We start from the raw sequence: 23,269 nt of genomic DNA, 5'->3' as shown, positions 1-23,269 counted from the left end.
TCATTCTTTAATTTATTCCTAATAATATTGTATCAAAATTGTTCTGAGTTTTTTGTTTTTTGAGATGGAGTTTCCCTCCTGTTGCGCGGGCTAGACTGCAATGGTGTGATCTTGGCTCACCACCACCTCATGCCCGGCCATGAGGTTGTTTATCTACAGTAATCGTTTCCTTTTTTTTTGGAGATAGGGTCTTGCTCTGTCACCCAGGCTGGAGCACAGTGGTGCAATCTTGGCTCACAGCAACCTCCGCCTCCCGGGTTCAAGTGATCCTCCTGCCTCAGCCTCCCAAGTAGTTGAGGTTACAAGTGCCCACCACCATGCCCAGCTAATTTTTGTATTTTTTAGTAAAGACGGGGTTTCACCATGTTGGCCAGGCTGGTCTTAAACTCCTCACCTCCAGTGATTCACCTGCCTCGGTCTCCCAAAGTGCTAGGATGATAGGCATGAGCCACCACACCCAGCCAATCTACAGTAATCTTAATTCTGCTTTCTGAGCAATACACAATGAACAAGTTAATTATACTCCCTTATTCTGGGATCATAATACCTTCCCATCAGCATATCCATCCTCAGCTATGTGCCATAGGCATCTGAGTCCCTGTTTGTCTGATTATAAATGCCTCAAGACTATACAATGCATCTGGGCCAGGCACGGTGGCTCACACCTGTAATCCCAGCACTTTGGGAGGCCAAGGCAGGTGAATCACTTGAGACGGGTGGATCACCTGAGGTCAGGAGTTCGAGACTAGCCTGGGCAACGTGGTGAAACCCCTTCTCTATCAAAAATATTGGCCAGACGCAGTGGCTCATGCCTATAATCCCAACACTTTGAAAGGCCAAGGCAGGCAGATCCCTTGAGGTCAGGAGTTCGAGATCAGCCTGGCCAACAAGGTGAAACCCCATCTCTACTGAAAATACAAAAATCAGCCAGGTACTGATGTACTCAATTTTAAAATAAAATTCTGGCTGGGCATGGTGGCTGATGCTTGTAATCCCAGCACTTTCGGAGGCCAAGGCGGGTGGATCACTTGAGGTCAAGAGTTCAAGACCAGTCTGGCCAGCATGGTGAAACCCCATATCTACTAAAAATACAAAAATTAGCCAGGCGTGACGGCACACGCCTGTAGTCCCAGCTACTTGAGAGGCTGAGACAGAAGAATCGCTTGAACCCAGGAGACGGAGGTTACATGAGCTGAGATCACACCACTGCACTCCAGCCTAGGCAACAGAGTGAGACTCTGTCTCAAAAACAAAACAAAATAGAATACAGTAAAATTCTAGTACAGCAAATCTGGATAGCAAATTAGCAAATGTGTGATATTCTAAAAGTAACCTACGGTTTGACTAACATGAAAGTCTATCCTATGGCTGGGCGTAGTGGCTCACCATGGTGAAACCCCGTCTCTACTAAAAATACAAAAATTAGCCGGGCATGGTGGTGGGCACCTGTAATCCCAGCTACTTGGAAGGCTGAAGCAGAAGAATCACTTGAACCCAGGAGGCGGAGGTTGCAGTGAGCCAAGGTTGTGCCATTGCACTCCAGCCTGGGTGACAGAGCAAGACTCCATCTCAAAAAAAAAAAGACTATCCTATGTAACTTGCCAAGTTACATGGTAGCTTAGTTCTTACTTACTGGGCCAATAATACTATTTGTAATAGTTGCAATTTGACTGTCATTACTAGTTCATCTGCATATGTTAACAGGATTTCTAAGACTTCTAAAGCTTTTGTAGAATGTGAATTAAAAGAACCACTATTTTCTAGCTGTCCCTTATTAATAAGGCCTGAGAGGAGGTCAACAAAAGAGTACAGTTTAATATGATCCAACAATTCAACTTCTGGGTCTGCAGCCACAAGAATTTAAAGCAGGCACTGCAAGACTACAGCCACTTTCATAGCAGCAGCATTTGTTTTTTCATAGCACTATTCACAATAGCCAAATGGTAAAAGTAACCCGAGGGTCCATCAACAGATGAATGAATAAACAAGATGTGGTATATGCATACAATGAAATATTACTCAGCCTTAAAAAGGAAGGAAATGAAATTTTGACATATACTACAACACAGATAAACTTCGAAGATACTATGCTAAGTGAAACAAGCCAGTCAAAAGGACAAATACTGCTATGATTTCATTCACATTAGTACCTAGAGTAGTCAAATTCACAGAGATGGAAAAACAGAATGATAGTTGCCAGGGCCTGGGGAGTTATTGGGAGGTTTTTTCGTTGTCATTGTTTTGTTTTTTGAGACGGAGTCTTGCTTTGTCGACTAGACTGGAGTGCAGTGGCATGATCTCGGCTCACTGCAACCTCCACCTCCCGGTTCAAGTGATTCTCTTGCATCAGCCTCCTAAGTAGCTGTAATTACAGGTGCCCACCAACATGCCCGGCTAACTTTTTTGTATTTTTAGTAGAGTTGGGGTTTCACTATGTTGGCCAGGCTGGTCTCGAACTCCTGATTTTGTGATCTGCCCACCTCGGCCTCCCAAAATAGTGAAATTATGGGCTTGAACCATTGTGCCTGGCCTGGGAGTTATTATTTAATGGGCATGGAGTTACGATTTGGGAAGATGAAAAAGTTCTGGGCCAGGCGCAGTGGCTCATGCCTGTAATCCCAGCATTTTGGGAGGCCAAGGTGGGTGGATCACCTGAGAGGTCAGGAGTTCAAGAACAGCCTGGCCAACATGGTGAAACCCCATCTCTACTAAAGTACAAAAATTAGCCCGGCGAGGTGGCAGGTCCCTGTAATCCCAGCTACTCGGGAAGCTGAGGCAGGAGAATCGCTTGAACCTGGGAGGCGGAGATCACAGTGAGCCAAGATCGTGCCACTGCACTCCAGCCTGGGCGACAGAGTAAGACTGAGTCTCAAAAAACAAAAAAAAAAACAGTTTAATAACAAATCTCTATCTCCCTCATCTAGTTAGGACTAGAAAACAGACACCATCCTTATTCTGAGACTATTTTTAGAAAAATGTTTCACCTTTATTTTCCTCACTGCTGTCTTCGGAGTATATTTAATGGGCAAAACAAGGTACTTTTCTTGCTCCTATGGTATTTTTCTAATATCGTTATTTTATTGTATGCAACCCATGTTCCCAAAAGGCTATATATATACAAAATGAAGGAAATAATTTTGGCAGATTTTATCCTATAGAACCTTTGTTCCTGAAGGTTTATATTTTAATACCACCACTCATTCTTTCACACTATTAATACTTAACTGGAATTTTTGGAATTTATTATCCTGTATCTCAAATCTGGCTTCCTCTTTTTGTGTAGTTCATCAAACATAAAATTCTTAAATTGGAAGTGCCCAGAGAATTGAAATGACTCCTAAGTTAACTAGAGCTAGCTAACTTCTTAGCAGATTCTAGTATCAAAGTTATATTATTCCTACTCCAATACTTTGCAATATATGCAGTTTTTTAGAAAAAGGATATGTTAAGAGTAAGATATGGGGGCCGGGTGTGAGGGCTCACGCCTGTAATCCCAGTGCTTTGGGAGGCCAAGACGGGTGGATCATGAGGTCAGGAGATCGAGACCATCCTGGCCAACACGGTGAAACCCCATCTCTACTAAAAATACAAAAATTAGCAGGGCATGGTGGCACCCACCTATAGTCCCAACTACTAGGGAGGCTGAGGCAGAATTGCTTGAACCCAGGAAGCGGAGCTTGCAGTGAGCCGAGATCACGCTACTGCACTCGAGGAGCCTGGGGACAGAGCAAGACTGTCTCAAAAATAAATAAATAAATATATGAAGTACTTAGCTAACCATGGCCAACATATTAGGAAGTAGATTCCAAACTAATCCCATCACATCTAGTAGTAGCCAGGATCAAGTGAAACATACCACCAGGAGGAACCTAACAATTTAAGACCCAGACAAGGTAGAGAGGAAGAATAGAACTAAGTCAAATTATCCCTAGACCCAGGTATGAAATAAGAAACCACTGATAATATACCTTATTTGTTTTCCCTCTCATGGCCTTTCTTAAAAATAAAATTTTAAGAAATCTTTCCATTTAATCTGAATTTAACTAAAAGTAAACAGAGAATAGGAAATAAATGACTTTAAAGGCCAAGAGTGATGACAACGCCAATGCCAACCACTTATAGGCAGGAAGGAAGAAGGAAGCAGATGAGAAGTGAAAGTCACAAGGAGGTAAACTTTATAGTGACACAAGAGTTCACACACACTAAGTGTTAGTTTTATATTATTGACTGCAAAGCAATGAAATAAAGAATTACTTCTGTAAGAAGTCAAGAATCCAGAGACACAAGACCAGAACTCAAAAAAATCACTTCTGCTGGGTGCAATGGCACATGCCTGTTGTCTTAGCTACTTAGGAGGCTGAGGTGGGAGAATCACTTGAGCCCAGGAGTTTGAGGCCAGCCTGGGGATGAAGTCCTGTCGCTAAAAGTTAAAATTTAAAAATAAAAAATGATTTCAATTTGAAGTCATTTGCAGATTAAATTCTAAAGAAAAATTTTTGAAATTAGGCCAGGCATGGTGGCTCATGCCTGTAATCCCAGCATTTTGGGAGGCCGAGGAAGGTGGATCACCTGAGGTCAGGAGTTCGAGACCAGCCCGGCCAACATGGTGAAATCCTGTCTATACTAAAAATACAAAAATTAGCTGCGTGCGGTGGCGCGTGCCTATAGTCCCAGCTACTTGGGAGGCTGAGGCAGGAGAATCGCTTGAACCCGGGAGGTGGAGGTTGCAGTGAGCCGAGATCATGCCATTGCACTCCAGCCTGGCAACAGAGCAAGACTCCATCTCAAAAAAGAAAAAGAAAAAGAAAAATCTATGAAATTAAGCTATAATTTAAGAGGCCTGGGAGTATAGAGAGAGAAGAAAGTCAAAGCCCAGACCCTGCCCAATGAGGGGAGTGTGGGAAAGCCACCCCATACATTAGAAGACCCATGGGCTACACCCTCAGGATAAGAGTGACTCAGCTCTTATAAAATTTCAACGTATAGGTTTATGTAGATTAGGCAAATCTAAAGAGAAAATTAATCAAGTGGAAGATAGGTCACAAGAAACTACCAAGTATTTAGATAAGAAAACAAAAAGACAAGCAATACAAGAGACAGGGTAAGAGGCAGAGAAAACACAATGAGAAGGTCTAGTATATGTTTAGCATGCCAGAGAAGACAGAATAAGACAGAAGCAATATATGACAAGATAACGGCTGAGAATATTCTATAACTGGTTGGGTGTGATGGCCCATGCCTGTAATCCCAACACTTTCGGAGGCCAAGGCAGGTGGATCACTTGAGGTCAGGAGTTCAAGACCAGCCTGGCCAACATGGTGAAACCAATCTCTACTAAAAATACAAAAATTAGCCAGGCGTGGTGGTGGGCGCCTGTAATTCCAGCTACTCAGGAGGCTGACACAGGGAGAATTGCTTGAACCTGAAGGCAGAGGTTGCAGTGAGATGAGATCGCACCACCACACTCCAGCCTGGGCAAGTTGACTCCATCTCAAAAAAATAAAAATAAAAATAAAGAGCCCAATGGAAGCCAGTAGACAACTGTGAACAATGGACTTTAGTTAATAACGTATCATCAATTGTAACAAAGACACTAATAATGCAAAATGTGAATAATGAGAAACTAGGGTAAGGAAGTATATGGGAACTCTGTTATTAGCAGCTCAATTTTCTATAAACCTAAAAGTGCTCTAGAAAATATACAGGCTGGGCATGGTAGCTCACACCTGTAATAATGCAAAATGTGAATAATGAGAAAATAGGGTGAGGAAGTATATAGGAACTCTGCATTAGCTGCTCAATTTTCTATAAACCTAAAAGAGCTCTAGAAAACATACAGACTGGGCACAGTAGCTCACACCTGTAATCCCAGCACTTTGGGAGGCCAAGGCTGGCGGATCGCCTGAGGTTAGGAGTTCGAGATCAGCCTGGCCAACATGATGAAACCCCATCTCTACTAAAAATACAAAAAAAGAAAAATTAGCCGGGCATGGTGGCACGTGCCTTTAGTCCCAGATACTCAGGAGGTTGAGGCAGAAGAATCACTTGAGCCCAGAAGGCAGAGGTTTCAGTGAGCTGAAATCGCACCACTGCACTCAAGCCTGGGTGACACAGTGAGACCATGTCTCAAAAAAAAAAAAAAATTTACACACACACACACACACACACACACGTACAATTAAATACAGAACAGCAATGGCGTGTGAATTGTGAGGGGAATAAATGGAGTTAAATCTTCAAGGTCACCAGTCTGGGCAACATGGCAAAACTGTTTCTACAAAAAATACAAAAATTTGCAAGATGCTGATGGGAGGCATTTTTTTTCTAAATTTATAAAAAGAAAAACTACAAAAATTATTCAAGTGTGGTGGTGTGTGCCTGTAGGCCCAGCTACTCAGGAGGCTGAGGCGGGAGGAGCACTTGAGCCCAGGAGGTCAAGGCTGCAGTGAGCCATGATCATGCCACTTCACTCCAGCCTGGGTGACAGAGTGACACCCCATCTCAAAAAAAAAAAAAAAAAAAAAAATCTTCAAGGCCCTCGTACTGACCAAGAGGAAGACAAAGGTATTAACATTAACCTTTGATAAGTTAAAAATATCTGTTGTAATTTCTGTGGTAACCAATAAAAGAACAGAAAGAGTGCAAGACTTCCAAACTAGAATTTCAAGTTATGAATAAAAACAGTCTGGATTAAGGCAGTAGCAATGGGGGCAGAAAAACACTTCAGAAATTTCAGAGAAAGAGGCACGTGTTGGTACTTGACTACATGTGAAATAAGGAGGAAATCAAATAAATACTAAAGTAAATTAATCCACAGTTCCTTAAAATGCATCAATATAAGTATAGGCCATTTCTCAGCATTCATACTTGTTGAGAATTGTCAGGCATGTAATTAAATGTAAGACATACAAACATTTTTAAAAAATGAAAGTGACTTTGGTATGTGAAAAAGCTGACACTAGATATTCATAACTGAAAGCTTCTAATTGCTGCAATGAACTACATGAAAAGAAAGGTATCAGTTGGTTAAATACCTTTTCAGAAGTCAATTTGATTATATAATGTGATGTATCAGACTTAAAAATTTATAAAAGATAGAAAAAGAGTTCCTTGGCCCGGGCACGGTGGCTGACGCCTGTAATCCCAGCACTTTGGGAGGCCAAGGCGGGTGAACTCCAGAGGTCAGGAGTTCGAGACCAGCCTGGCCAACATGGTAAAACCTCGTCTCTATTAAAAATACAAAAATTAGGTGGGCATGGTGGCGGGCACCTCCCAGCCACTCGGGAGGCTGAGGCAGCAGAATCGCTTGAACCCGGGAGGTGGAGATTGCTGTGAGCAGAGATCATGCCACTGCACTCCAGCCTGGGCGACAAGAGTGAAACTCCGTCTCCAAAAAAAAAAGTGAGAACTTAAAAGATACTTGCCGCCGGGCGCACTGGCTCACACCTGTAATCCCAGCACTTTGGGAGGCCGAGGTAGGCAGATCACTTGAGGTCGGAAGTTCAAGAACAACCTGACCAACATGAAGAAACCCCACCTCTAATAAAAATACAAAATTAGCCGGGCGTGTTGGCGCATGCCTGTAATCCCAGCTATTTGGGAGGCTGAGGCAGGAGAATCACTTGGACCTGGGAGGCGGATGTTGCGGTGAGCCGAGATCATGCCATTGCACTCCAGCCTGGGCAACAAGAGTGAAACTCCGTCTCAAAAAAAAAAAAAAAAAAAAGATACTTGCCAAGGATTTAAGTAAAGAATTCCTGCAGATTAAAAGAATATCATAAATTTTTACAGATATCTCCTTGCTGACTTACTTTTTTTTTTTTTTTTTGAGACGGAGGCGCACTCTGTTGGCCATGCTGGAGCGCAATGGCGCGATCTCAGCTCACTGCAACCTCTGCCTCCCACGTTCAAGCAATTCTCCTGCCTCAGCCTCCTGAGCAGCTGGGACTACAGGCGCGTGCTGACTTATCTAGTCTTTCTAGGGCGGTTAACTTAGTTCTCTTGGAAACAATTCTTTCATTTTGCAATCATATTTCTTTCTTTTTTTTTTTTTTTGAGACAGAGTCTCGCTCTGTCGCCCAGGCTGGAGTGCAGTGGCATGATCTCGGCTAACTGCAACCTCCGACTCCCTGGTTCAAGTGATTCTCCCGCCTTAGCCTCCTGAGTAGCTGGGATTACAGGCACATGCCACCACGCCCGGCTTATTTTTTGTATTTTTAGTAGAGACGGGTTTTGGCATGTTGGCCAGGACGGTCTCGATCTCCTGACCTCGTGATCTGCCTGCCTCGGCCTCCCAAAGTGCTGGGATTACAGGCGTAAGCCACTGCGCCCAGCCTGCAATCATATTTCATTGCATTATGCAATTGTGTATTAAATAGAATAATTACAACACAAGTGTAAGTTATTGTAAAATGATCATTGACATGGCTATAATTCAACTGGTGGGAGCAATGTGATAAGCATCAGTCAGTATGGCTTATAAAGAGAGAATGGAGAATGCCTATTAATCCAGTGAGTTGATTATGTACAGATTTGTTAACCATTATCCCTGTTATAAAAGATCTAAATTCATTTCTTATTGCTTTTGTTGTACTGTTGGAACAGTACCTGGCACACAGTATTATAAGTATTTGCTACTGTATTAGCATTGATATCCAACTAGGTACAAGTAACAATGCATGCAAGGGTGAAATTCTGCCTACTTTACATGGTCTCCAGAACTGCTGAGACTATCTGTACTTAAACTGTCAAAAGGGAGCAGGGTGTGAAATATAAACTGCAACAGGTTGATTGAAAACATATGAATTCAAGATATAGTCAGTTTCACATTACTAGAAGTAGATCATCCAGTGCTTACAGGAAGAGGTCTTTAAAAAGAGGTAGGACAGGCCAGGCGCGGTGGCTCACGCCTGTCATCACAGCAATTTGGGAGGCCGAGGCGGGCGGATCATGAGGTCAAGAGAGAGAGACCATCCTGGCCAACTAACATGGCAAAACCCCATCTCTACTAAAAATATAAAAATTAGCTGAGAATAGTGGCACACGCCTGTAGTCCTAGCTACTTGGGGAGGCTGAGGCAAGAGAATCGCTTGAACCTGGGAGGCAGAGGCTGCAGCGAGCCGAGATCGCGCCACTGCACTCTAGCCCAGGTGACAGAGTGAGACCCCGTCTCAAAAAAAGAGGTAGGACAGCTCACATGTCAAGTCAACAAGACATAAAGAACTAGCAGCCGGGTGCAGTGGCCCATACCTGTAATCCCAGCACTTTGGGAGGCCAAGGTGGGCAGATCACGAGGTCAGGAGATCGAGACCATCCTGGCTAACACGGTGAAACCCCGTCTCTACTAAAAATACAAAAAATTAGCTGTGCGTGGTGGCAGGCACCTGCAGTCCCAGCTACTCGGGAGGCTGAGGCAGGAGAATGGCGTGAACCTGGGAGGCGGAGCTTGCAGTGAGTAGAGATTGCATCACTGCACTCCAGCCTGGGCGACAGAGTGAGATTCCGTCTCAAAAAAAAAAAAAAAAAAAAAACCAGAAAATTACTAGGTTCACAACCCAGTTTAACCTTATCACCTCAAAACTGCTAAGACGATGGCTCCAGGTCCTCCTAAAAAGGGGCAGCTAGACTAGAGAGCCTGCTATAGACTTTTGGGTGCACATTACTACTTTCCCCTCATCAGTTCATGACAGAAAACGTCAATCTTTTAAACAAAAACCAAATAGTGCATCCCAAAGCCCAAAATAAATGACTTTTGTTTTACCATTATTATGAAGTAAATATGCTGAGAAACTGAGTACCTACCTATAAACACACTATGCAAGAAAATTAAAAATTTGCACTATGCAAGAAAATTAGAAATAAAAAATTAAAAACCTAAATATAGGTAATGAGCAACTTAAATATAAGTAATAGATGTGGAGATTTGGCCATTTTGTTTTAGTCTAAGTAATGGAGTGTATATCTAATTTGCAGGTGGAAAAAACTCGAAAGTTATACAACAGAAGATTTACAACAACCAGAAAGTTCAAAGGCTGTAGCTACTTGTAACACTCTTGTCCACTAGGAAAGAATCCACAGTGGCACTGACTTTCTTCCTTCTATGGACATCAAAAAGTACTGAAAAATGTTATGAATAGTTAGGAGAAATTCAAGAGACAGCCCAAGAGGCTGAACCAGTCCCACTAGATGGCACCATCACAGGGAAGTCACTCTGCTCTCTTATTTGGAGCTGCAGGGGCTGAAATCTTTTTTGATCTTTGAAAAACAAAGCTGTCATCAACACAGTGATATTCTTTTTTTGTTTTGTTTTGTTTTTTGAGACGGAGCCTTGCTCTGTCGCCCAGGCTCACTGCAAGCCCCGCCTCCCGGGCTCAGCCATTCTCCTGCCTCAGCCTCCCAGGTAGCTGGGATTACAGGCACCCACCACCAAGCTCAGCTAATTTTTTGTATTTTTTAATAGAGATGGGGTTTCACCGTGTTAGCCAGGATGGTCTCGATCTCCTGACCTCGTGATCTGCCTGCTTTAGCCTCCCAAAGTGCTGGGATTACAGGCGTGAGCCACCGTGCCTGGCCCTAACACAGTGATATTCTTATTGGGAAATAATGATCCAAAATGAGAATTCAAAGCCAGGGAGAGGAGTTTTTCCAAAAGCACCCTTTTCTCCCAGTATCATCATCCCCTCCACACCCCCATTTCAAATCAATAGTCTGAGAGGTACGATGTCTTACTGGTAAAAGAAGTAATACAAAGGCTGGGCGCGATGGCTCACACCTATAATCCCAGCACTTCGGGAGGCTGAGGCGGGTGGATCACCTGAGGTCAGGATTTCGAGACCAGCCTGGCCAACACGGTGAAACTCCATCTCTACTAAAAATACAAAAAATTAGCCGGGTATGGTGGCACGTGCCTGTAATCCCAGCTACTCGGGAGGCTGAGGCACGAGAATTGCTTGAACCCAGGAAGCGGAGGTTGCAGTGAGCTGAGATCGCGCCACTGCACTCCAGCCTGGGCAACAAGAGTGAATCTCTGTCTCAAAAAAAAAAGAAGTCATACGAAATGGAGATTTTCTTTTCCCGGCTCTGCAAACTACAGAATTAATTTTTTTCTTCAAGTTTCTTTGTTATGGAAAAAAAAAATACTCTCCTGCTAGTCCTCAAATAACAAATTCATTGTAATCAATATACTTACCGTGACTGGAAATATCAAAGTAACATACGACTACTTAAGCTGGGCACAGTGGCTCACACCTATAATCCCAGCACTTTGGGAGGCCGAGGCAGGCACATCACAAGGTCGGGAGTTCGAGATCAGCCTGGCCAATATGGTGAAACCCCATCTACTAAAAATACAAAAATTAGCTGGGCATGGTAGCAGGTGCCTATAGTCCCAGCTACTCAGGAGGCTGAGGCAGGAGAATAGCTTGAACCCGGGAGGCAGAGATTGCAGTGCGCCGAGATTGTGCTACTGCACTCCAGCCTGGTTGACAGAGCAAAACTCTGTCTCAAAAAAAAAACAACTAATGGAATAAAAACAACTGGAAATAAAGCTGGGTGCAGTGGCTCATGCCTGTAATCCCAACACTCTGGGAGGCAGAGGCAGGTGGATCATTTGAGGTCAGGAGTTCAAGACCAACCTGTCCAACATGGTAAAACCCCATCTCTACTAAAAATACAAAAATTAACAGGGTGGTAGTGGCGCACGCCTGTAATCCCAGCTATCTATAGGCTGAGGCAGGAGAATTGCTTGAGACTGGGAGATGGAGGTTGAGGTGAGCCGAGATCGTGCCACTGCACTCCAGCCTAGGCTAGAGAGTGAGACCCTCTCAAAAACAAACAAAAAAACTGGAAATAGGTAAATTTCTTTTTCTGTACAGAGAACTTCTTTCTATGTTAAAGGTAGAATTTCCTATTAAACAGATAGGTTACTGTATTAAAGTTTTCTGATACCTTAGTTACATGACTTTAAGTTGGGTCTAGACAGCAACATGTTGAATGTCACTCATTCTTATCACTTATGCCCTACTCCATCAAAAGTATACTTGAATACAGCCATCACGAACCTAAAAACAGAACAACAACCCTAATCCAAAGATCAGTGAGCTTAACTATGTAAAATTTGAATACAAACTTACTGACTTACGGGAGGCGGGGGTGGGGGGACCATTTAAACAGACAGATCTGGACATTAGCCTTATGCTCAATCTTCAAGTTAAAAAGACACATCAGAGGTCATTTAGAGATCAATTTAGTATTCAAATATATTGCTCACTTCTATTTGAAGCTACTTCACCTAGATCAGAGAGTTTACATTTGTAAATGTAACTTCAGTATACAACGTCCAGGGGCACAGCCACTCTAAAGTGCCACAAAAGTAAACTGTTTAAGTGGCCAAAGAAATTAAGAATATGTAACAAATCCTGTGTTCCCACAGCACCTTGTCACAGCTCTAATACAGATCTCATCACGGTATCATCTCTCTCTCCCCATACTGCAGATGTGGAGGTACTGTGCTCAAGCATCAGCCCTAACACCTTGCACAATGCCTAGCATACAGCAGGTGCTCAATATTTGTTGAATAAACAAAAACTATCAAGCTGGTTGGGCGTGGTGGCTCATGCCTGTAATCCTAGCACTTTGGAACACCAAGACAGGCAGATCACTGGAGGTCAGGAGTTCGAGACCCAGCCTGGCCAACATGGAGAAACCCTGTCTCTACTAAAAATAAAAAAAATTAACCAGGCATGGTGGTGCATGCCTGTAATCCCAGCTACTCAGGATGCTGAGGCAAGAGAATCGCTTGAACCCAGGAGGCAGAGGTTGCAGTGAGCCCAGATTGTGCCACTGCACTCCAGCCTGGGTGACAGAGCAAGGCTCTGACTCAAAAAAAAAAAAAACAAAACCCTATCAAGCTATCCCGGCTCACCAAAACTGTGAGACCCATCAAAGAAGCCCATTTTTCCAACTAAACCTCAACACGCCTTCTCCTTGGAGAAGCTACTAACTAAAGCACGAGATCAACACCCAGGTTACCATGAGACAGGATTTCTTGAAAAGCACAGAAACAAATGTTGTATCACACTGGTTAAAGATCAAAAGCTCAGCCAGGCACAGTGGCTCCTGCCTGTGATCCCAGCACTTTGGGAGGCTGAGGCAGGTGGATCACCTGAGGTCAGGAGTTCGAGACCAGCCTGGCCAACATGGTGAAACCCCATCTCTACTAAAAATACAAAAATCAGCTGGGCGTGGTGGCGGGCACCTGTAATCCCAGCTACTCAGGAGGCTGAGGCAGGAGAATCATCACCTGAACCCAGGAGGTGGAGGCTGCAGTGAGCCGAGATCACGCCATTGCACTCCAGCCTCGGCGACAAGAGGAAAACTCTGTCTCAAAAAAAAAAATTCAGTAGCTCATACGTTCACACATCTCAAGCCCAAGTAATATGATCTTGGACCAATAAAGCTTTTAAATAAAATATCGTAAATATACTTTGCATACTGTATTAAAATCAAACATTTTACACATTGTAAAATCATCCTATGAGAGCAGAGGGGTGGACCAGTGGGTACATAAACATGCATAGGAAACTATAACATTGCTTAACTTCATACGTGCCCGTTAATGGGGGCCTAATCTAATATTATGCTCCTGCAACAAAAATAAAAACTAAGAAGGAAGAATGAGAAGAGCAACAAACCAGTCTGGGGGTGCAACCAGTAAAGAGTCTGCAGACTTCACAGAGGCCAATTTTTCAATACTCTACCATGTAACTACCTCCAAAGTCCAATGTAACAAAGCTATGCAATGCCTTGTAATTTTCTTTCTGAATGGCTGACAAGTTTTAACAAAATATGGCATAGAATCTATACACACATCCTGTTAGTTTCCTTGTAACAAGAACCATGAGAAACCTCTCCTATACCAGAAAGGAAGAAGAAACATATATTCCCATATAGAACATTTTCAAACCTACTATGTTAAATGACTACTGGAATGACCAGTAGGATCTAAAAGTTCACTGAAATTAAGACCCAAATCTTCTCCCCTGCAAACTATCAGAAGGGCCTACCCAAATTGCTCTTAATCATTTAAAAAATGTGTTTAAATTAGAATATGAATAGTGTTCATGATCATCATTTTACTCACCTTACTAACACCTACTCCAGTAAACCTGGCCTCCAATAATTCCTGCCGTCGTGGGTCCAGGCTATGCAATTCTTCCATCATTTCTGCTGAAAAAGAAAAAGTAGGCTGTGAAACCATAAACACTAAAATGTGAGGAGGCAATTTTCTGTAGAACAAAACTCACAGTAATTATTTCACTGAAAGATCAAATGCAGGTAAATCTCAAGTAAATATAGCATACAAGTGGTAGACTACTATGTGCTGCATCAAACAGTAATATATTGAAAAGTTTTAAAGCAGCTCAGAAGTCCTCTTCTATGACAGCCACTTTTTCTTCCCTAGTTCTGATTTGATTTTAACAGCAAAAATAAACCCCTCAAACCCTTCATATAATTTCTGTAAAAGTTGAGCACAGGGGAAAGAACAAAACAAGAACTAGCCTGCAAAAAGAAAATTCCTTCTATCAGCCTTAATCTAGCTAAGTATCTTCAGATATTTATTTCCCACTCAGGAAGTAGTCCTTAAACTAAAAATATGAATCATTGACAATAATTTCAAAAGAATATAGGATGAATCAGAAGCTACAAATAACTGCAAAATCACTATTATACAGCTCCTGTCTCTGAAGAGCTCACAGTAGCTCATGAGAAAAGGAATTATTTTAAATTTAATAGAGAGCCCACGGTAAAACCATCCACCTCCATTCACTCAGTAAATTAATATAGCTCCATAACAATCCCTTTAAAAAATCTTTTTCTGACCACTCCCTGCAGTAGTTTTCTCTTGATTCTGGACATCTGCTTTTAGCCCTTCTTCCAAGCAGGGAGGGGCAGGAGGACACCATTTTTAAACTTCCATAACCAATTAATGCACAGGCTACTTTCAGCAAATATGTTCATCCTTTGCAAGAGACCAACTCCTACACGACCCATTTAAAACCTCTCTTTAATATTAACAGTGGAAAAGAAACATATTACATAGAACCCCTTCGAACACATTATTAAGTAGTTGGAATGGTTGGTGTGATTTTAAAGTTACTGAAAAGATGAATCGAACATTCTCCTCTGCAATCCAACAACTCTACAATCTCCAGTAACAACCCCCTTACAAGTCCTTCAGTTTCATTTCCCTTCCTGGATTGAGAGCCTGGGGCAAAGGGGAATGAAAAGGTGACAAATTAAAGTTTCACCCACACATGCAAGTGCAGGTTAGAGAGAGAATTAGGAAATTCTCAGAAAGGTTGAAATGCATCTTTACAAAAAGAAAAAGAAGGAAAAAAAAGAGACTGGGAGAATGAGTTTCCCCCGTGGCCTTCCTCGCGTCTTGCCCTGCCCTAATCGAGGTCGGAATGGCAAAGGTTGCAGTCTCTCCCAAACCCCAAGGTCTCTCGCAACACTTCCCAAACCTCCATCCCCAGGCCCGGCCCGGAAAATGACGCCCCGGCGGTTATTCCGTTTAATGTCAACTCATGTTAAGGAAATAGCCACTCCGTCTAATTCCAGCGGGGCCTTGGACTGGGATCCTCCCTGCAGCCCACAGCCGGGAAGCAGGAGCGATGGGGCCTGGTCCCGGCGCCCCTCGCCGGCTCCAAACTTTCCCCAACTCCAGGCCCACCTGTCACGGAGGAAGGGAGGGCCGGCTCTCGGGGGCGCCCGGGAGGCTGCCGAGGCCTCCAGCTGCCTGGGGGCCCCCGTCTCTCCTCCGGCCGCCGGCCCCAATCCCAGGCCGGGGCCGCCTGGGCCTCCCCCATCTTCTGCCCGGCCCCTCAGCGACCCGCAGCCCTCAGGGAGCCCCTCCCGCCTCAGCGCCCAGGAGCTGCGGTCCGGAGCCGGCCCCGAGCTGGGCCCAGGTCGCAGGCTCCTCAGGCCAAAGGGGTCCCCAGGACGGTTAATGCCCCAGGCCTGGAGTCCTCCCCCGCCCGGGGCTCAGCCTCTCACCTGCCGCCGCCGCCGCCGCCGCTCCACGCTCCTCCCGGGAGGGGCCCCGACCCGACCCGGCTGCGGACCGCTCCGCTCTCCCCCTGGGCAGGCCCGGGGCGGAGCCGGGGCCTCTCCTGAGCGCCGCAACCCCCCGCCCGGGCAGCCGCCGCCGGCGCCGGGCTCCACGAGAGGGCGGGCGGGGGAGGGGGGGCACGAAGGCCGCAGATCCCCGGGCTCGCGTACAGAGCCAGGCGCCCGACGCGGGCCCGGGCCCGGGCGGCCGCGGGGGGCGCGGGACCGGCCTCCTGGCGCCGGACAAAGGCCAAGGGAGGCGCAGGAGGGCCCAGGCCGGGCCAGGAGGTGGGGGCCCGCTCGGCTGGGGGCCACTCGGGTGCGGCGCGGAGGGCGGGGGGGTCGGAACCGCTGGTGCCCAGGACCCGCCTCCGGCCCCTTAATCCGGATCGGTTCGGTCCGGATTAGTAGTGATCGGTGTAAACACACTAGTGAAACCGCGTGTTTCCTCGCGAGATTTGCACGGCTGGGAGGCGGGGGGGGTCCTGGGGGGGTGGGGGAAGCGCCGACAGTGGGGGAGCAGGGGGAGGGGACGAGGAAGGTGGGGGGGGGTCCCCGCTGCCCCGGCGCCCCGCCTTCTCCAATCAGCGGCCGCGCTGCCGGGCAGGGGTTAACCAGGGGACCCCGCGCCGGCGGAGGAAGCCGCGCCTCGCCGGACGGCTGAGGGCGGGCGACGGGCGGCGCCGGCTGACGGGCCGCAACGCGAGGGGAGGTCCGGCGGCCCGGGGCGCCCTGCGACTGCCCGAGGCCGGAGGCCCGGAGGACCCGCCGCCGCCTTTGTGTCGCCGGCCCCCGCCCCGCTGGACTGGCCCGGGCCGGGGCGGTTGGGCCGGCGCTGAAGGGGCTTGGCCGCCCGGGTCCACCCGTTCCCGGATCCGCCTCGCCGGCCCCCGCGCCCGCCCAACCCCTGCCCAGCCCCTCGGCTCCGCGAGTTTGGGTGAGAAGTGCGGCGGCTTTTCCCAGGGATGGAGTTTAGAGGACGCTAATCCTATGTGTGAGCGGCGGACCCCGCCCGGACTTCCCGGAGGCGCCCGGTTAGTGAGGCGACGGCGCCCACCCGCGTTCGCGGGCTCCCGGCCGCCACTCCCCGGAGCCGCCGGCCCGCCCCAGCCCCGCGCGTCGCCCGGGAGGGCGGGCTGCACTCCCTCCACGTACCTGGCTGGCAGAGCGTCTCCAGGGACAAAAGGTGCCCTGGGATCAAAGCCGAGCCCCCGCCCCCGCGGGGATGCTGCCCTCCGGAAGGAGGGGCGCTGCCCCCAAGGTACTCTCCCCGGGCACCCAGGGGGAGGTTCCATTTCAACCTCCGATGAAAAACACGGCCCTCCCGGGTACTTAGGAGGGTCTGAGGGTAAGTGCCAAGATGGAGAAAACACGCCGGCCCCTCACAGAGTATCTCCTGAGGAATGAGAACTATCTAGCGGGCAAGGAGGGCTTCCTGCATAGCAGAGGGCACCCCCTCTGATCCCCCAAGGCCAAGGGAAAAAAATCACTCTTCACCGGCGCCCCTGAGCCAGGACAGGCTCCAGTGCAGCCACCCACCTTATAATTTTCCGCGGATGCTGCCTTGATCAGATGTCTGAAGATGACTTTAAGGACTACAAGCAAATCTCAAGGGAAAAATTCAGACCTTGAACAACAGCCTTGAACTTTTTCAGGGTTAGACAAGTACTCCCCAGTGGAGTTTCTGCCCTTATTTCTTCGTTCTTCTCTTAATTCTTCCATATTTTAACAGAACACAGACCTGCCGAAACGACACAGGATGGCTCTTTGCTTTTTGTTAGTTCTCCAACCTTCCAAACCCTTGGGGCACATGCAAGCACTGTGGAAAAACTTCATTAAACCAAGAGTCATCTTACTCCAGATCCCAGACTGCTTGGGAAGTTGGACATGCATATTCCCAAAGAGAACAGTGTTGGAAGAAGACAGGAGAGCAGCTCGCGGGTTGGGGGTAGAGGGTAGGAAAAGAGGGCAAGATGGAGGACTACCACTCGAGGCCAGCCTCCACTGCCTGTTAGGGCGGTAGAACCTAAGAGCCGGTCCAAGGCAACACAAAAGACAGTGAGGCTAGGTCTTTAATTGCAGCCAACGATCAAGAAAGCAACTCCATCAAATGACACTGTCTTTTTAAAAAAAATTTTTTTTTTTTGAGACAGAGTCTCGCTCTGTCGCCCAGGCTGGAGTGCAGTGGTGCGATCTTGGCTCACTGCAACCTCTGCCACCCGGGTTCAAGCAGTTCTCCCTGCCTCAGCCTCCTGAGTAGCCGGGATTACAGGCACGCGCTACCAGGCCCGGCTAATTTTTTTTTTTTTTCTTTTTTGGTAGAATCGAGGTTTTGCCATGTTGGCCACGTTGGTCTCGAATTCCTGACCTCAGTTGATCCGCCCATCTCAGCCTCCCAAAGTGCTGGGATTTCAAGCGTTAGCCACCGCACTCGACCAAATGACACTGTCTTAAATGATTTAATGTCTTAAATCGGGAAAGGAGAGTAAGAGAAAGCACTCAATGGAGTCAGAGGTGTCTTGCAGCCTAGCTCTTTCCACAGACAAGCCACATGGGCCTATCATCTAACCTTTTCAAACTTCTCCAACTGCTTCTGTGATGGAGGGATTTGGGCTAGAGGATCTTTTTATTTTATTTTATTTTATTTTATTTTGGTGACAGAGTCTCACACTGTCGCCCGGGCTGAAGTGCAGTGGCACAATCTCAGCTTGCTGCAACCTCTTTCTCCTGGGTTCATGCGATTCTCCCGCCTCAGCCTCCCAACTAGCTGGGATTACAGGCGCACACCACCACACCTGGCTTATTTTTTGTGTTTTTAGTAGAGACGGAGTTTCACTATGTTGGCCAGACTGGTCTCGAACTCCTGACCTCGTGATCCGCCCACCTCGGCCTCCCAAAGTGCTGTGATTACAGGCATGAGCCACCGCGCCTGGCCGATGATCCCATTTTTCAAAGTAGGCTGGGTGCGGTAGCTCACGCCTGTAATCCCAGCACTCTGGGAGGCTAAGGCGGGTGGATCACTTGAGGCCAGCAGTTCGAGACCAGCCTGGCCAACATGGTGAAACCCCGTGTCTACTAAAAATACAAAAATTAGCTCGGCATAGTGGTACGTACCTGTACTTTCAGCTACTTGGGAGGTTGAGACAGGAGAATTTTGCTTGAACCCAGGAGGCGGAGGTTGCAGTGAGCCAAGATGGCACCACTGCACTCCATTCTGGGTGACAGAGTGAGACCCTGTCTCAAAAATAATGATAATAAAATAAAAGTAATTATTTAAGGCTGGGAGCGGTGGCTCACGCCTGTAATCACAGCATTTTGGGAGGCCGAGGCGGTGGATCATGAGGTCAGGAGGTCGAGACCATCCTGTCTTAACACGGTGAAACCCTGTCTCTACTAAAAATACAAAAAAATTAGCCAGGCGTGGTGGCGGGCGCCTGTAGTCCCAGCTACTCGGGAGGCTAAGGCAGGAGAATCGCTTGAACCCAGGAGGCGGAGGTTGCAGTGAGCCGAGATCACACCACTGCACTCCAGCCTGGGTGACAGAGCGAGACTCCGTCTCAAAAAAAATAATTATTATTTAAAATAATCATTGGGCCTGGCGCGGTGGCTCACACCTGTAATCCTAGCACTTTGGGAGGCCAAGGCGGGTGGATCACGAGGTCAGGAGATTGAGATCCAGCCTGGCCAACATGGTGAAACCCCATCTCTGCTAAAAATATTTTTTAAATTAGCTGAGCGTGGTGGTGGGCACCTGTAATCCCAGCTAGTCGGGAGACTGAGGCAGGAGAATCGCTTGAACCTGGGAGTCGAAGGTTGCAGTGAGCCGAGGTCGTGCCACTGCAGTCCACCTGGCCAACACAGCAGGCCTCTCTCTAAAATAATAATTATTATTATTGTTATTCTTGACAGGCCAGTGTAGAACAGGTGGGGCATCTGTGGTATGACAGAACTGGGTTCCAATTCTGTCCCTTCACCTGTCCCAGGTTCCTCATCTGAAAACTGTGACCCAGTAAACCTAATTTCATGAGCAGCTTTCATTAAAATTGAAATAATGTTGGAAAATGCCTTGTAACCGTGCTTGATATAGAGTAGTTACTTAGCCAGTTATTTCCTCTCTTCTTCCAATTCCTAACAAAATGGAAAAACGTTTGGTTGCTAGGAAAGAGCTCTAAGGGGATTTTGTTGTTGTTTGAGACAAAGTTTGGCTCTATCGCCCAGGATGGAGTGCAATGGCACAATCTCTGCTCACTGCAACCTCCGCCATAGACAGGAGCCAAGCATAGTGGCGTGCACCTGTCTGTAGTTCCAGCCTCTTAGGAGGCTGAGGCAGGAGGGTTGCTTGAGGCCAGGAGTTTGAGTCTAGCTTGGGCAATATATTGAAACCTTGTCTCTTAAAAAAAAAAAAAAAAGAGGCCAGGTGTAGTGGCTCACGCCTGTAATCCCAGCACATTGGGAGGCCGAGGCAGTGGATCACTTGACCCCAGGAGTTGGAGACCAGCCTGGGCAACATGCAAACTTCCGTCTTCTAGGCCGGGCGCGGTGGCTCAACACCTGTAATACCAGCACTTTGGTAGGCCGAGGCGGGCAGATCACGAGGTCAGGAGATCGAGACCATCCTGGCTAAGGTGAAACCCAGTCTCTACTAAAAATAAAAAAAAAATTAGCCGGGTGTGGTGGCTGGCACCTGTAGTCCCGGCTACTTGGGAGGCTGAGGCAGGAGAATGGCATGAACCCAGGAGGTGGAGCTTGCAGTAAGCCGAGACCGCACCACTGCACTCCAGCCCAGGCAACAGAGCTAGACGCCCTCTCAAATAAAAGTAAATAAATAAATAAAATTATGTCATTAAAAAAAAATACAGGGCCGGGCGCGGTGGCTCATGCTTGTAATCCCAGCACTTTGGGAGGGTGAAGCGGGTGAATCACGAGGTCAGGAGATGGAGAGCATCCTGGCTAACACAGTGAAACCCCGTCTCTACTAAAAATACAAAAAATTAGCCGGGCAAGGCAGCGTGTGTCTGTAGTCCCAGCTGCTGGGGAGGCTGAGGCAGGAGAATGGCATGAACCCAGGAGGCAGAGCTTGCAGTGAGCCAAGATCCCGCCACTGCACTCCAGCCTGGGCGACAGAGCGAGACTCGGTCTCAAAAAATAATAATTAACAAAAAAAAATACAAAAGTTAGATGCGCATGTTGCCATATGCTCGTGGTCCCAGCTACTCGGCAAGCTGAGGTTGGGAGATCACTTGAGCCCAGAAGGTGGAGGTTGCAGTGAGCTGAGAACCCACCATTGTACTCCAGCCTGCGTGTCAGTGAGATTCTGTCTCAAAAAAAAGAAAAGAAAAAAAATCTAGGCTATGCTCCCTAGTATGGGAAATCTAGTCTAGTCATTTGGCAGAATCAGGCTTTGCGGGCCATATTGTCTCTGTCGTAACTACCAACTCTGCTGGTTAAAAGGGAAGTAGCCACAAACAATGTCTGAATGATGGATTATGGCTGTGTTCCAATAAAACTTTATTTGCAAAAACAGGTTGCTGGTTGCAAGGTAGTTTTCCAACCTCTACGTGATTCTCAGACTTTAGGTTGCATCATAATCACCTGGAGGGCTTGTTCAAACGCAGATTGCTGGGCCCCACCCCCAGAATTTTTTATTCAGCCAGTCTGGGGTGGGGCTGATATTTGTATGTCTAACAACTTTCCAGGTGAGGCTGGTTGATGATGGTCTGGAAACCACTTTGAAAACCTCTGAAGCTTTTCTCAACTCCCTTTGTGTACCTAAAACACTTTATCCCTACTGTAGATGTAGTATTTAGCGTGTTATATTAGTTTAGTGATTGGTGTGTGGGTCTCTGGGAGCCTTTCTGAATCACCTCCCTAGCCTAGTGCCTGACAATAGCAATTTGCTCCCCATTCATTGACTGAACTGAAACCAGAGGGTCATGGTCATCATCATTGTTCCAAGCCATAGATAGAAGATGAAGTCACCACCCCCGATCTCAGAGCTCATCAGAGTAGAGCTTGGGCTGGACTATGCCCTTCTCTGCAGTGAGCAGTTTTCTCTGTGGAGCTCTGCAACCTGGAGCCAGCCCTGCCTGGGGTAAGAGGAAAAAGGACTCCTTCCCCCCAGCCCCACAGCCTGTACGCAAACACACCAGGAGACATGACCTGCTCAGAGGAGACCTGGAACCAAGGGAATAAAATGAGAGTGGGTTGGGGGCTTGGCTGTTTGTTATTTTTTTGCTTGTAAGTGGACAATTTGTGGTGTGGTGTGTGAATTTGGGGTCTTAAATCCAGATAGCTGTCTGCTGTGGACAGCCACTGTTTCTGAATTACAGGGCATTTCAAGTGACCTGTGGTCAGGATGTTTTCTCTCAGATCAGGCAAAATCAATTGGTCCTGATAATAACCAGGGGAGTTGTACTTTCCCTATCTTGAGTAGAAGACACAGCTCCCAGGTCCACCTGTCTCTCCTGACTGCCCACCTCCTGGCTTTTTTTTTTTTTTTGAGACGGGGTCTTGCTCCGTCGCCTAGGCTGGAGTGCAGTGGTGCGATCTCAGCTCACTGCAACCTGGGCCTCCTGGATTCAAGAGATTCTCCTGCTTCAGCCTAGCAAGGAGCTGGGATTACAGACGCGTGCCACCTCGCCCAGCTAATTTTTTTTATTTTTAGTAGAGACGGGGTTTCACCGTGTTAGCCAGGATGCTCTCGATCTCCCGACCTCGTGATCCACCCACCTTGGCCTCCCAAAGTGCTGGGATTACAGGCATGAGCCACCGTGCCCGGCCAGCCTCCTGGCTTTTATCCTGGGGGCACTGCAAGTAGAGCCAGGCATGTGGCCCATGCATCCTTCCCAGCCTCTCTTTCCTGCTGGGCATGGAGGAGGAGGCACTGCCAGGAGCTCCCCACAGACAGGCGCTGCTTACTAATGGGTTGGCTGCAAACTGTAGGCATAACAGTTACCTTCCTCTTCACGACCCCTAGGCCTGACGAGGCTTACACAGGAATTTCTTTGATTTGTGAAGTCTTAAGACTATACTGCTGGGCGCGGTGGCTCACGCCTGTAATCCCAGCACTTTGGGAGGCTGAGGCAGGCGGATCACGAGGTCAGGAGATCAAGACCATCCTGGCTAACACGGTGAAACCCCGTCTCTACTAAAAACACAA

At 47.2% G+C, this 23,269-nt stretch overlaps 1 protein-coding gene across 42 annotated transcripts in view, besides 5 other annotated features; it reads right to left on the bottom strand.

The window, feature by feature from the left end:
- TLK2 (tousled like kinase 2) overlaps positions 1–23,269 on the bottom strand; it is a 144,568-nt gene that overhangs the window by 120,135 nt on the left and 1,164 nt on the right. For 9 of the 42 annotated variants that reach the window (XM_047435174.1, XM_047435176.1, XM_011524215.3 and 6 more), the window contains exons 1-2: positions 15,734–15,903; positions 14,141–14,226 (exon numbers count right to left, since the gene is read on the bottom strand). In XM_047435174.1, coding sequence (XP_047291130.1) covers positions 14,141–14,226; positions 15,734–15,869 — 222 coding nt within the window. In that variant the 5' untranslated portion in view covers positions 15,870–15,903. Of the gene's footprint in view, positions 1–14,140; positions 14,227–14,559; positions 14,580–15,733; positions 15,904–16,056; positions 16,524–17,265; positions 17,537–23,269 lie in introns of those variants that run through there. The other 33 variants (XM_011524216.3, NM_001375271.1, XM_047435183.1 and 30 more) reach the window with 11 other exon arrangements.
- Positions 9,954–10,453: an enhancer, noted in NCBI's record as "NANOG-H3K4me1 hESC enhancer chr17:60562255-60562754 (GRCh37/hg19 assembly coordinates)". NCBI's record gives its function as "activates a minimal SCP1, AML or CMV promoter by ChIP-STARR-seq in naive H9 embryonic stem cells {active_cell/tissue: H9 hESC(naive)}" and the evidence as "EXISTENCE:reporter gene assay evidence [ECO:0000049][PMID:30033119]".
- Positions 15,758–16,147: a silencer, noted in NCBI's record as "silent region_8808". NCBI's record gives its function as "represses an Ori minimal core promoter by ATAC-STARR-seq in GM12878 lymphoblastoid cells {active_cell/tissue: GM12878}" and the evidence as "EXISTENCE:reporter gene assay evidence [ECO:0000049][PMID:35858748]".
- Positions 16,638–16,937: a silencer, noted in NCBI's record as "silent region_8807". NCBI's record gives its function as "represses an Ori minimal core promoter by ATAC-STARR-seq in GM12878 lymphoblastoid cells {active_cell/tissue: GM12878}" and the evidence as "EXISTENCE:reporter gene assay evidence [ECO:0000049][PMID:35858748]".
- Positions 17,118–17,257: a silencer, noted in NCBI's record as "silent region_8806". NCBI's record gives its function as "represses an Ori minimal core promoter by ATAC-STARR-seq in GM12878 lymphoblastoid cells {active_cell/tissue: GM12878}" and the evidence as "EXISTENCE:reporter gene assay evidence [ECO:0000049][PMID:35858748]".
- Positions 17,368–17,417: a silencer, noted in NCBI's record as "silent region_8805". NCBI's record gives its function as "represses an Ori minimal core promoter by ATAC-STARR-seq in GM12878 lymphoblastoid cells {active_cell/tissue: GM12878}" and the evidence as "EXISTENCE:reporter gene assay evidence [ECO:0000049][PMID:35858748]".

The sequence above is a fragment of the Homo sapiens genome, chromosome 17 (genome assembly GCF_000001405.40).
Source record: "Homo sapiens chromosome 17, GRCh38.p14 Primary Assembly".
Classification (NCBI taxonomy): domain Eukaryota; kingdom Metazoa; phylum Chordata; class Mammalia; order Primates; family Hominidae; genus Homo; species Homo sapiens.
Note: the sequence above shows the minus strand (reverse complement) of the source record. Positions and strands in the feature narration are given on the sequence as shown.